This window comes from Homo sapiens, chromosome 20 (assembly GCF_000001405.40).
Source record: "Homo sapiens chromosome 20, GRCh38.p14 Primary Assembly".
In the NCBI taxonomy this organism is placed as follows: Eukaryota; Metazoa; Chordata; class Mammalia; order Primates; family Hominidae; genus Homo; species Homo sapiens.
The window spans coordinates 19190241-19205699 of NC_000020.11; positions in this window are offsets into that span (position 1 = coordinate 19190241).

The window sequence follows — 15459 nt, forward strand, 5'->3', positions numbered from 1 at the left end:
TTTATCATAAAAAAGTTAGATTTTGTCAAATGCTTTTTCTGTATCTATTTATATGATAATGTTATTTTTCTTCATTAACCTGTCAATGTGATGGCTTACATTAATTGATTTTCAAATGTTGAATCAGCCTTGCATACCCCCACTCGAGGTGGTGATAAATCCTGCTTGGTCTTCGTGTATAGTTTTTTTACACATTGTATTCAATCTGCTAATATTTTATTGAAAATTTTTGAATCCATGTTCATGAGAGATATTGGCCTGTATTTTTCTTTCCTCACTGTGTCTGTGGTTTAAGTATCAGTTTGCCTCATATAATGTATTAGAAAGTAATTTCTCTGCTTCTACCATATCAATGAAATTGTAGAGACTTGGTATAATTTATTACTTAAATATTTGGTAGAATTAACCAATGAACCCATCTAGGCCTGGTACTTTATGTTTTGAAAGGTTATTAATATTTGATTCAATTTCTTCAATACATGTAGGCATATTTAGATTATCTACCTTTCCTTGTGTGAATTGTGATAAACTGTGTCTTTAAAGAGATTGGTCCATGTTATCTATGTTGTCTAATTCACAGGCATATAGTTGTTCACACTATTTATTATTCTTTTAATGTCCATGGAATCTGTAGTGATGTCCCCTCTTTAATATCTGATATTAGTAATTTGTGTCTTCTCTTTTTTTCTTAATTAGATAGGCTAGAGGTTTATCAATTTCATCCATCTTTTAAAAGAACCAAATTTGAATTTCATTGATCTTCTCTATAGATTTCCTATTTTTAATTTTATTAATTTCGACATTAATTTTTATTATTTATTTTCTTATGTTTGGTTTGGATTAATTACTCTTATTTTTCAGTTTACTAAGGAAAACCTCACACTACTCATCTTAGATCTTTCTTCTTTTATAATAAATGCATTCAATGTTATAAATTTTCTTCTTAGCATTGCTTTTGCTATATCCCATAAATTTTGATATTTTATTTTTATTTAGTTCAAAATATTGTAAAATTTTTTTGAAATATCTTCTTTGATTTGTGTATATTTGGAAGTGCGTTATTTAATCTCCAAGTATTTGGGGGTTTTCCACATATCTTTCTGTTATTTATTCAAGTTTAATTCCATCGTAGTCTGAGAGCAGACATTGTATGATTTTCATTCTTTTGAATTTGTTAGGGCATATTCTATGGCCAAGAATGTGATCTGTTTTTGTGAATGTTTATGTGAACTTCAAAATAATGTGTATTCTTTTGCTGTTGAATGAAGTATTTGATACAGATGTCAATTATATCTCATTTTTTGAGTTTAACTGTGCCCTTGCTGAATTTCTACCTGCTCTATCTGTCCATTCTCATAGAGGGTTGTTGAAGTTGCCAACTACAATAATGGATTCATCTCTTTGTCCTTCAAGTTCTATCAATTTTTGCCTCATACATTTTGACACTCGGGTAAGTGCCTGCTCATTAAGGGTATTTATGTCTTCTTGGATAACTGATCTCTTTATCATTATGTAATACCCCTCTTTATCACTGATAAATTTTCCTTCTCTGCTACCTGATATACCTGAAATTAATATAGTTACTCTAGCTTTCTTTTGATTCATGCTAGCATGGTATATATTTCTCCATCCCATTACTTTTAACCTGTATTTTTCTTTATATTTAAAGTGGATTTCCTGTAGACACCATATCACTAGGTCTTGTTTTTTGATCCACTCTGACAATGTCTTTTAATTGGTTTATCTAGACCATTGACATCTGAAGTGATTATTGATATAGTTGGATTGATGTCTACCATATTTGTTACTGTTTTTTATTTATTACTCTTGTGATCTGTTTTAATTTTTTTCTTCCACTCTTTTTCTGGCTTTTTGTGGTTGTGTTTGAGCATTTTATGTAAATACATTTTCTCCTCATTCTTAGCGTATGAATTATATTTCTTTTTATTTTAGTGTTTGCCTTAGAGTTTGTAATGTACACTTACAATGAATCCAAGTCCACTTTCAAATAACACTATATTGCTTCATGGGCAGTGCAAGTACCCTATAATAACACAACGTTACTATTTTCTATCTCCTGTTCCTCATATCATTAATGTCATTTATTTCACTTGTCCATTATATATATATGCATATATATAAAAGTGTATATATATAAGCATATATATATAATATAAAGAGGGTTGCTGTTATTATTTTGAACAATTATTTTCTATTATATCAACTAAGAATAAGAAAATTAAAGTTTTCATTTTACCTTAACCAATTCTTCTTTGCTGCTTTCCCTTTCTTTATGTAGATCCAAGTTTCTGATCTATATCATTTTCCTTCTCTTTTACAGGTTTTCAACATTTCTTGCAAGGCAGGTCTACTTGCAACACATTCCTTCAGTTTTTGTTTGTCTGAGAAAGTCTTTACTTCTCTTTCACATTTAAAAGATAATTCCATAGGGTGCAGAAGTCTAGTTTGATGTTTTTTTTAACCAACACTTTTAATATTTCCCTCTACTCTCTTCTTGCTTGCATGGTTTCTGAGAAGCTTGATGTAATTCTTATCTTTGCTCCTGTATAGGTATCTCCCCACCCCCTGTTTTTTTTTTTCAAGATTTGTTCTTGAATATATTCTAGGTGTAGTTGTTTTGGCACTTAACCTGGGTAGTGTTCTTTGATCTTGCTAGATCTGTGGTTTGGTGTCTGACATTAATTTGGGGGAAATTTCCAGTCATTATTTTCTCCTCAAGATATTTGTATTCCTTTCTCTTTTTCTGATATTGTCATTTTAAGCTTGTTTACACCTTTTTTAGTTGTTCCACAGTTCTTGGATATTCTGTTCTATCTTTTTCCAGTGTTCTTTTTGCTTTTCATTTGTGATTTTCTACTGACATATCTTCAAGCTCAGAGATTCCTTCATCTGTGAGCTATGTCCAGTCTACTAATGAGCTTATCAAATTATCTCTAGCCTTTCACTTTGGATTGTTTATTAGAAGTTCTATCTCTCTGCTTACATTGCCCATCTGTCCTTACATGTTGTCTACTTTATCTGTTGGAACTCTTACCATATTAATTGTAGTCATTTTAAATTCATGGTTTGATAATCTCAACATCTCTGCCATATCTACATCTGGGTCCAATGCTTGCACTGTCTCTTCAAACCTCGTTTTTGTTTTGTTTTGTTTTGTTTTGTTTTAGTATGCCATCTAATTCTTTTTTCATACTTGGACATGATGTATTGGTTAAGTGGAACTGTAGTAATAGGCCTTCTGTGACGTGATGATAAGGTGTGAAGTGGAAGGAAAGCAATCTACGGTTTTATGATTAGGTCTCAGCACTATAGTGAGCCTATCCCTCTGACCTGTGAACTTCACAGAGCACCACAATTCTCCCCAACCTCTACACGTTTGCTGGGAACAAATATTTACAGTTAACCCGAGTTTGATATTTCCCTTCTGTCAGATCAGTTAGTCTGTTACAAAAACTCCATTATTTCAGGCTCTGGTAAAATAGTTTCCTTTGAAAGCAGGACTTGTTAAAAACAAAGTCCTCTGGCATATTTCGAAATGGTTATTTTCACCCTCTCCTATTAGAAGTATGAAAGGATTTTTCTCTGATACTCACCAAGAGAATCCGGTGGAGCATTTGAGAGGAGCATTTACAAAAGTGTAGCTGAGTGGGTTTCTATGACTACCCCATCCCAAAAGTGATTAACACTCAGATTTGTCCACTCTGAGTCTAGCAATTCCAGAAACTTGTCATTTACGGTTCAGGTTTTCCTCTCCTGGTAATGATTCCCTCGTAAATGTCTGCTCAGGGGTTTCCACTCTAACAAGTTGTGATTTTCTGTGTTTGCCTGTCTCCCTGATTTTAAGCACAGTAGTTTGCCTAGCTGTAATGGATCTAAGAGTTGTTGATTGTTCAATTGGTTCAGGTTTTTACTTGCTAAGACAGAGCAATGACTTCCAAGCTCTCTATATGCTGGACCACAAACTGGAAGTTCATTTCTATATGAATTTGAAGATCAGCTTGTTAGTATATGCAAAAGGGCACCTCGAATTTTATAAATATTACATTTAAACTGTAAATGAATTTAAAGAATATGGTATCTTAATTCCAATCCATAAATACAGGATGTCTTTTCACTTTTTAGGTTTCCTTTAGTTTCTTTCAATGATGTTTTATAGATTTCAGTGCACTTTTTTTTAAATTTATTCATAAATGTTTTATTCTTTTTGATAGTATTGTAACTGGAATGACTTTAATTTTATTTTCATTGAGAATATTTTCTTCTATTTGTACCTCTGTTGAGTATTTTTATCATGCAGCGTGTTGAGTTTAGTCAACTGCTTTTTTTGGCCTCACTAAAGGTGATCATGTGTTTTTTGCCCTTTATTGATATGCTGTTTCATTGGTTGATTTTTGTATGTTGAACTAACCTTGCATACCTGTGATAATTTCCGCTTGCTCACGGTGTTAAAACTATTTGTATGTGTTGCTGGATTCAGTCTGTAAATATTTTGTTGAGGACATTTTATCTATATTTAAAGGAATGTCAGTTTGTAGTTTTCTTTTCTTGTGATGTTATTGGTTTTGGAATCAGAAAAATGCTGGTCTTATAGAACGAGTTGGGAAGTATTCCTTTCTCTTCTAATTTTAGAAGGGTCTATGAAGGATTGGTGTTAATTCTTCCATTAACATTTGATATAACTCATTGGATAAGCCATCTAGTCCTGAGATTTTCTTTATGAGAAGTTTTTTCTTACTAATTTAATCTCTTGTTATAGGTATATTCAGATATGATCTTTCTTCTTGAGTCAGCTTTGGTAATTTGTACATCTCATGAATTTGTCCATTTCATCTAGGTTATCTAATTTTTTGTATATAATTTTTTATAATATTATCTTATAATTCTTATTTTTATAATTACTAAAATTTCTAACTTGAGTCTTCCGTCTTATTTTCTGGGTCAGTCTCACTAGAGATTTGTTAGTTTTGTTGATCTTTTCAAAGACTCAACTTTTGGTCTCATTGATTTCTTTCATTTTTTTTCTCCCTATTCTCTGTTTCACTATTTTTACTCCAATCTTTATTCTTTCCCCCCTTTGCTAGCTTTTTGGTGTACTTTGCTCTTCTTTTTCTAGCTTACTAAAGTGGAAGATTAGGTTGTTTATTTGATTTTTTTAAAATAGGTATTTATAGATGTCATTTTTCTCAAAGCACTGCCTTTTTTTTTTTTTTTTTGGTTCTGTGGGGACAAAGTGCCTGAAGTTTACCTCTATACACAGCAGAATGTGGGTTCAGTTTCATAGCAGCAATAATTGGTTGGGAAAGGCTTTGCAGCTTTCTATGAAGGCAAGTCACATGGGATTTTATTTATTTATTTATTTATAAAAACAGAAATGTATTTCCACAGTTCTGGAGGCTAAACATACAAGATCAGGGTGCTATGCATGGTTGTGTTCTGGTGAGGACCTCTTCTAGGTTGCAGATTGCTGTTTTCTTTTTGTATCCTCACACAGCAGAAAGAGGAGGTAAGAGCTCTCTGGGGTCTCTTTTACAAGGGTTCTAATCCCATTCATGAGGACTCCATCCTCAAGATTTACTTACCTCTCAAAGACTCCACCTCCTAATACTATCAATTGGGAATTAGGATTTCAGCATAAGAATTTGGGGGGAACACAAACATTCAGTTCCTAACAGATTTTTTTAATGTAATTTATGTAATCATTTTCTTACTTTTAGGCATTTAGATTGTTTTCTACCTCTGCAGTAAATAATACTATAGTAGTGAGCATTAAAAATATATAAACCTGTGTCATTTTTTCCCCTATATATTTCCTTAGGCTTTATGAATGACTAAGTCAAAAAGTGCAGGTATTTTTAGGTTCTGAATATACAGCTTTCCTGAAAGATTGTACTGCTTCACACTCATATCAATTTTCTCACTATACTCTTGCCACCATTTAGAATAACCTTTTTTATTTCTTTTAGTCTTATTAACTTGGTAAAATAATTATGTCTCATTGCTTTACTTTTCATTTATTTGACTATAATGAAACTTTTAAAAAGGAAAATGATAGCATGTTTCTAATGGATAGTGTGTTCAAATATTGACAGTTTGTAAATATTATTCACAAAGATGCGTCTGACTCCTTTGTCTAAGATTTGGGGCCAAATCTGTAGGTGGTGGTCATGTGAATTCTGGGAATGCAATGTGTTTTTTTAAAGGGACTTCTTTCTAGTGTATTGTCTTTAGAAGCATCTTTTGAAATTTTTTTGAAGCTCCCCTTTTTTTCACAGGTTCTCGAACCTTGAGACAGTAAATCAGTATTATAATCACAGCTAACGTTTACTGAGTACTTACAATTATTTGCTAGGTGTCTTGCCAAGCACTCTACTTGTATTAGCTCACTTAATGTTCATAACCACCCTATAAGATGTACAAAGCTTTTATTTACATTTTACAAATGGGGATTCTTGAGTACATAGAGATTAAGATATTTGGTCAAAGTTACAAAGTTAGTAAGCAGCAGTACCTGGATCTGTACTCAGACATTCCGGCTCTAAAGCCATACTCTTAGGTACTCTGATTCCTGGCAAGATTACTGACTTTGGGATGGTTTTCTTCTAAACATGTAATCTGGTTTAAATTTTTTAAAAAATTTTAGATTCAAGGGGTACATGTACAGGTTTATTATGTGGATATACTGCATGATGCTGAGGTTTGGGTTTCAATTGAAACTTTCACCCAGGTAGTGAGCATAGTACCCAATTGGTAGTTTTTCAACTCTTTCTCACCTCCATCTGTCCCCCTTTTGGAGTACCCAAAAGGACTGTCTATTTGGAGTGTCTATTTTTCCCATCCTTATGTCCACGTGCACCCAATGTTTAGCTCCCACTTATAAGTCAGAACATGTAGTGTTTGGTTTTCTATTTCTACATTAATTCACTTAGGATAATGGCCTCCAGTTTCATCCATGTTGCTGCAAAAGACAGGATTTTGTTGTTTTTTTATGGCTGCATAGTATTCCATGCTGTATATGTACTACATTTTCTTTATTCAGTCCACTATTGATGTGCACCTAGATTGATTCCATGTCTTTGCTATTATATGGTGCTACAATAAACATGGAAGTGTAGACATCTTTTCGATAGAATGATTTATTATCCTTCGGGTATATACTGAGTAATGGAATTGCTGGATAGAATACTAATTCTATTTATAGTTCTTTGAGAAATCTCCAAACTGCTTTCCATAGTGGCTAAACTAATTTACAATCCCACCAACAATATGTAGGCATTTCCTTTTCTCTGCAACCTTGCTAATGTCTGTGACTTTCTTTTTTTCTTTTTTTCTTTTTTAAGATGGAGTCTCACTCTGTCAGCCAGCTGGAGTGCAGTGGCGTGATCTCAGCTCACTGCAACCTCTGCCTTCTGGTTCAAGCGATTCTCCTGCCTCAGCCTCCTGAGTAGCTGGAACTATTGGTGCCTGCAACCACACCCAGCTAATTTTTGTATTTTCAATAGAGATGGGGTTTTACCATGTTGGCCAGGATGGTCTCAATCTCCTGACATCATGATCCACCCACCTCGGCCTCTGAAAGTGTTGGGATTACAGGCGTGAGGCAGCAGGCCTGGCCTTGACATTTTAATAATAGTCATTCTGACTAGTGTGAGATGGTATCTCATTGTGATTTTGATTTGCATTTCTCTGATGTTTAGTGATACCGAACACTTTTTTTTATGTTTGTTGGCCACTTGTATGTGTTTTTTTGAGAAGTGTATATTTATGTCCTTTGCATACTTTTTAATGGGGCTGCTTGTTTTTTTTCTTGTTGAATTGTTTGAGCTTCTTATAAATTCAGGATATTTGTACCTTGTTGGATGCATAGTTTGCAAATATTTTCTCCCATTCCGTAGGTTGTCTGTTTGCTCTGTTGATAGTTTCTTTTGCTGTGCAGTAGGTCTTTAGTTTAATTAGTTACCAATTTTCACTTTTTGTTTTTGTTGCAATTGCTTTTGAAGACTTAATTCTTAATTCTTTGTCAAGGCCAATGTCCAGAAGAGTATTTCCTAGGTTTTTGCTTATGGTAAGAGATAGAGGTTCAGTTTCACTCTTCTGCATATAGCTAGCCAGTTTTCCTAGCACCATTTATTCAATAAGGTATCCTTTTCCCACAGTTTCTTTTTGTCAACTCTGTCAAAGATTAGTTGGTTGTAGGTATATAGCTTTATATTTGGGTTCTATTTTTCTACCAGTACCAAGCTGTTTTGGTTACTGTGGCTTTGTAGTACAGTTTGAAGTCAGGTAATGTAATCTAGCTTCTGTTTTTGTTCTTTTTCTTAGGATTGCTTTGGCTATTTGGGCTCTTTTTTGGTTCCATATGAATTTTAGAATAGTTTTTTCTAAACTTATGATTTTAATTTTAGAAAAATTAAATTTATAAATTAATTTTCTAAAATTAATTATGTGAAAAATGATGTTGATAATTTGATAGGAATTGCACTAAATCTGCAGATCATGTTGGGTAGCATGGACATTTTGATGATATTTCTTCTTCCAATTTATGAGCATGGAATGTTTTTCCATTTGTTTGTAATTTCTTTCAGCAGTGTTTTATAGTTCTCTTTGCAGAGATCTTTCACATGCTAGGTTAGGTGTATTCTTAGGTATTTTATTTTATTTTGTGGCTATTGTAAATGGGATTGTATTCTTGATTTAGTTCTCAGCTTGAACATTATTGGTGTATAGAAATGCTACTAATTTTTGTACCTTGATTGTATACCCTGATACTTTACTGAAGTTGTTTGTCAGCTCTAGGAGTTATTTGGTGAAATGTTTCAGGTTTTCTAGATATAGAATCACATTGTCGGTCAAGAGAGAAAATCTGACTTCTTTTTTCCTATTTGACAAACTTTTATTTTTTTCTCTTGTCTGATTGCTCTGGCTGAAGCTCCCAGTACTATGTCGAATAGGAGTGATGAAAGTGAACATCTTTGTCTTGTTCCAGTTATTAGGGGAATGTTTCCATCTTTTGCTCATTCAGTATAATGTTGACTGTGGATTTGTCATAGATGGCTCTTGTTATTTTGAATTGTGTTCCTTTGATGCCCAGTTTGTTAAGCGTTTTTAACATGTGGGGATTTGGGACTTTATTGAATGCTTTTTCTATGTCTATTGAGATGACCATATATTTTTTGCTTTTAATTCTGTTTATGTGGTTAATCAATTTATTGATTTGCATATGTTGAACCATCCTTGTATCTCATTAATAAAGCCCAATTGATAGTGATGGATTATCTTTTTGAAGTACTACTGGATTTGGTTTGCTAGCATTTTGTTGAGGATTTTTGCATCTATGTTAATTGGGGATATTGGCTTATAGTTTTATTTTGTTGTTGTATTTGCTAGATTTTGATATCAGGATGATACTGGTTTTATAGAACGAGTCAAGAAGGAATCTCTTCTCTATTTTTCAGAATAGTTTCAGCAGGATTGGTACCATCTCTTCTTTGTACATCTGATAGAATTAAGCTGTGAATCCATCTGTTGAAGGTCTTTTTTGGTTGGTAAGTTTTTATATTGCTGATTCAATTTCATAGTTTATTATTGGTATGTTCAGGATTTCAATTTCCTTCTGGTTCAATCTTGGGAGGTTGTGTGTTTCCAGGAATTTGTCCATTTTATCTAAATTTTCCAGTTTGTGTGCATAGAGATGGTTGCAGGATCTTTTGTCACTGAGGATCTTTTGTATTTCTGTGGGATTGGTTGTAATGTCACCTTTGTCATTTCTGATTGGCTTATTTAGATCTCTCTTTTTTCTTTGTCAATCTAGCTAGTGGTCTATCAATCTTGTTTCTCTTTCAAAAAACAATTTTTCATTTTGTTGATCCTTTGTATGTTTTGGGGGGGCCTCAATTTTGTTTAGTTCTGCTGTTATTTTAGTAATTTCTTTTCTTCTGCTAAGTTTGGATTCAGTTCTTGTTTTTTTTTTTTTTTTTTAGTTCCTTTAGGTGTAACATTAGGTTGTTAATTTGAGATCTTTATATCTTCTTGATATACGTGTTTATCGCTATATGCTATAAACTTTTCTCCTAACACTGTTTTTGCTGCATCTCAGAGGTTTTGATACATTTTGCCTCTATTTAAATTTGTTTCAAATACTTTTCTGTCTTATATTTTTGTTTACCCAAAAGTCATTCAGAAGCAATTTGTTTAGTTTCCATGTACTTGTATAGTTTGGAGAGTTCCTCTTGATATTGATTTCTAATTCTGTTCAACTGCAGTCTGAGCTGGTATAATTACATTTTTTTTTAATTTGTAGAGACTTGCTTTAGGACCAAGCATATAGTCAATCTTAGAGTATGTTCTGTGTCTGAGCACTGTTTAAGTTACATCTCATACATTTTGATTTGTTGCATTTGTTTGTATTTTCATCTCAACATATTTTTTAAATTTTTTTTCTGATTTCTTCTTTGGCCCATTTATTTATCAGTGTTTAATTTTCATGGATTTGTGAATTTCCCTCATTTTCCTTCTGATATTGATTCCTAGTGTCAGTCTATTCTGGTTGGAGAATGTGTTTAGCATTATTTCAATCTTTTTCTTTTTGTGTGTGTGTGTCTTTTGTTTTTCTGGAGGATGTCTAATATATGGTCTGGCCTGTGGAATGTTTCATGTACACTTTTGAAGAATATATTTTTTCTGCCATTCTTGGGTAGACTCTTCTATAGATGTCTACTAGGTAGAGTTTGTTTATAGTGTCGTTAAAGTATTAAAGTAATTTATTTCCTTGTTGATCTTCATCCTAGTTGTTCTATCCATTATTGAAAGTAGGCTATAAGGGTCTCCAACTATTATTTTTGACCATTTCTCTATTCAATCCCATGAGCTTTTGCTTCATGTATTTTGAAACTCTCTTGTTAGGCACATATATGTTTGGAATAATTATATTTTCTTGATGGATCGACACTTTTATCATTATAAAATGTCCTTTGTCTTTAGTAATAACTCTTTTTTTTTTTTTTTTTTTTAGACGGAGTCTCGCTCTGTCGCCCAGGCCAGACTGCGGACTGCAGTGGCGCAATCTCGGCTCACTGCAAGCTCCGCTTCCCGGGTTCACGCCATTCTCCTGCCTCAGCCTCCCGAGTAGCTGGGACTACAGGCGCCCGCCACCGCGCCCGGCTAATTTTTTGTATTTTTAGTAGAGACGGGGTTTCACCTTGTTAGCCAGGATGGTCTCGATCTCCTGACCTCATGATCCACCCGCCTCGGCCTCCCAAAGTGCTGGGATTACAGGCGTGAGCCACCGCGCCCGGCCCTTTAGTAATAACTCTTAAAGTCTGTTTGATTGATGTTTTTTAAGCCACTCAGGTCTCTCTTGGTTACTGTTTGCATGGTTCATTGTTTCCCATCTTTTCACTCTCTGCTTATTTATGTCTTTTAACCTAAAGTGTGGCCCTTGTAGATAGTATATACTGGAATCTTACATTTTTGTTTATCCATTCTGCAAATCTCTGCATTTGGCTTGAAGTTTTAAATCAATTCCCATATAATGTAAGTATTGATAAGGTAGGATTTACAGTTGCCATTTGTTATTTGTCTTCTATATGTTTTATGTCATTTTTGGTCCTCTATTTTTCCATTGTTAGTTTATTTTGTGTTAAGTAGAAATTTTCATAGCATATCATTTTAATTCTATTGTCATTTATTTTACTAGTTTTTAAAGTTACTTTAAACTGGGGATCACAAAGAACATCTTACCACTGTATTTCCAACCTTAATTATAAGAGTGTACACAAATTTTACTCTGACATAACTCCATTTCCTTTCCCTCTTCTATGCTGTTATTGTCATCAAGATTACATCTTTATACATAGTATACCCATCAGCACAGATTTGTAATTATAGCTTCACGCAATAGTCTTTAAAATTAGATAGTATAAAAAGTTGCAAATAAAAATATAATTACATTAATTTATATTTATCCATGTAGTTACCTTTACCAGTGTTATTTATTTCTTCATGTAGATTTGAGTTGCTCTCTAGTGTCCAGTCATTTCAGGCCGAAGGACTCCCTTCAGTATATCTTTATTTAAAAAATGGATTTTATTGTGTATATTTGAGGTTTACAACATGATGTATGGGTTACATATAAATAGTAAAAAGCTTACTATAGTGAAGCAAATTAACATATATATCAACTCATGTAGTTACTTTTTATTGTAACAAGAGCGGCTAAAAATCTACTTATTTAACAAAAATCCCAAATACAATGCAATTTTATTAATGATAGTTCTCATGTTGGACATGAAATCTGACTTGTTTATCCCACATATCTGCTACTTTGTATCCTTCGACCTATATCTTCTCATTTCCTCCCCTCTTTGACCAGTAAATAATTGTTTTACTCCCTATCTCTGTATATTTAAATTTTTAAGAAGATTCCACATGTAAGTGAGATCATGCGATATGTTTCTTTCTGTGTTTGGCTAATTTCACTTAGCCAAATGTCCTCCAGATTCACCTACATTGTGGCAAATAGCAGGAGCCCTCTTTTTAATGCTGAATGATATTCCTGTGTGTGTGTGTGTCTTTGTGTTGACAAGACAGGTTTGTTTATCTATTCATCTGTTGACGAGTCTGCAAGTTCTGCTTTCAAAAAATATGGAAATGTCTAATATCTTCTTTAATTTTGAAGAATAGCTTTACTGGTGCAGAATTCTTGGTTGATGGTTCTTTTCTTTCAGCACTGTGAACACGTCATTTCACTGCCTTCTAAATTTCATGGTTTCTGATGAGAAGTCAGCTGTTAACACTATTAAGCCTCCATTGTATATAAAGAATCTCTTAATTATTGCTGCTTTCAATATTCTCTCTGTATTTCAACACTTTGATTTAAATGTGTCTAGATATGGATCTCTTTATATTACTTGAAGTTTACTGGGCTTCTTGGGTGCATAATGTTTTAATCAAAGTTGGGACGTTTGGGGGCTTTATATCTTTAAATATTCTTCCCAGTTATTTCTCTGTTCTCCATTTGAGGCTCCTATGATACATATGTTGCATCACACGTATGAGGCTCTATTCATTTTTATTCATTCTCTTTTCTTTTTCTTTTTCAAACTACACAGTCTCAATTGATCTGTCTTCAAATTTGCTGATATTTTCTTCCGCCTGCTCAGATCTGCTGCTGAAAACCTCCAGTGAATTTCTTATTTCAGTTATTGCACTCATCAACTTCAGAATTTCTATTTGTCTTATTTTTAAAAGCAGTTTCTATCTCTTTATTGAAAGTTTCTATTTTGTAAGACATTTAAAGACATGGTTTCTTTAATTCTTCAAACATATTTAAAATAGTTGATTTAAAATCTTTGTCTAGACTACACATTGGGTACAGTGTACACTGCTCAGGTGATGGGTAACCAAAATCTCAGAAAACACCACTTAAAAACTTATTCATGTAACCAAACACTACCTGTTCCCCAAAAACCTACTGAAATAAAAAAAATAAAAGTAAAGTATTTGTCTAGTGTGTCCAATATCTGGGCTTCCTCAGACACTGTATGTTAACTTCTGGTAGTTGTTGTTATGGGTTATACTTTCTTGTTTCTTTACATGTCTAAAAATTTTTAATTGACAACTGAACATCTCCAGTAACATAACATGACAAGTCTGAAAATCATATTCTTCCTCTTCCTTAGGGTTTGCTGTTGTTGCTATTAATACAACCTGGGCCAGGCATGGTGGCTCATGCCTATAATCCCAGCACTTTGGGAGGCTGATGCAGGAGTATTGCTTGAGGCCAGGAGTTCAAGATCAGCCTAGCAAGATCCTGTCTCTACAAAGAATGAAAAAAGAAAATACAACCTGTAGAGGGGCCCTTCTGTTTTCCTCTCCCCATTCCTCGTTGTTCATTGTTTGAGCACAGCTCTCTTTTCTAGTTGTCATTCAATGCTTCAGAAAAATGGCAAATAACTATTTACATGACAGTTGAATACCGCAGTAATCATTGTTGCAGATAAGATTCATCAATGGATGTTAAAATTAGCGGGTGAAATTTTGAAGAGAAACAAAATTTGCATAGCTTCAAAGTACCTTTCCCAAAATATTAACTCCATGTTATCAAGGTTAGCACGAATAATAAGACATATTGACATCAGAAATCCCATGGTATGAGGCAATGAGAAGGACATGGCATAATTCCATTACCATGATGCATAACCTCATCCAGATAATGAGAACATATTAGACAAAACTAAATTGAGGGGCATTTGTGAAATAAATCATTCGTACTCAAAAGTGTCAAAGTCATGAAAGTAAGGAAAGACTGGGGAAAAATTTATGAAACTTGAATAAGTTCTGTAGTTTATTTAGTACTATTGTTGCTACGTTAATTTGTAGCTCTCGTTATTTTACCATCCATACACAAAGTGATAACATTAGGATGAGATCCATGAAGGGCCTCTTGGGATTCTCTGTACTATTTTTATGACTTCTGTAAGGCCAAAATTAGCTCAAAATAAAAAGTTAAACAAAAATGGTTGTACCCAAGGCGGGAGGACCACTTCAGGTCGGGAGTTCTAGATCAGCCTGGCCAACATAGTGAAACTGCATCTCTACTAAAAATACAAAAATTAGCCAGACGTGGTGGCACATGCCCTTAGTCTCAGCTACTTGGGAGACTGAGGCAGGGGAATGGCTTGAATCTAGGAGGCGGAGGTTGCAGTGAGCCAAGATTGTGCCACTTCACTCCAACCTGGGCAACAGAGCAAGGCTCTGTCTCAAAAAAAAAAAAAAAGTTATATCTACTTTTTAGCATCTCAAAGGAATAATTTTTATTCGTTTAATAATTTTTGTCATCTTACTCAAAAACTTGATATTTTTGGACATGGTATTTTAATGAGAACATGACTAATGCCGACTATGGGTAGGAACACTTTGAAAAAATAAAAATGATTTCACCAAGATATGCTCAAATTCTCATGATACTTATTCATCAGAGTTTAAGTTATACCCTGTTTTGTGTTTAAAATGCATTATGCACTGGTGTTGTTGAACTAACATAGTTTACAATGATGTGGGATTTAACGTCGAAATTTTTCTTTTCAATATTATATGGAATAGGGTGTGTTGCTATTCTCAGCTAAATGTTTGATGCTGTAGCTGGAATTCTTATTCCTTGGAGACTTTAGAAGCTATTGCTTGTAGACTACTTTAAATGCTTAAACGTTGGGAATTTGGTTCTTGTGGTTTTCCATATTTAAGAGGTGTTTAAAAGCAAATGAAACGTGGAAAGTTGAAAAAATGAAAAGGTATGTGTAATCGTGAGTGCTGTAACATATAGTTAGCTATGAATACGGGTAGTTATGAATTCCTAGTCATCTCATCTATGAGGAAATATCAACCAAATCTATGCTTTTCAATCTGTGCATTTTGTTAAAATGCAAGTTCTAATGCAGTGGT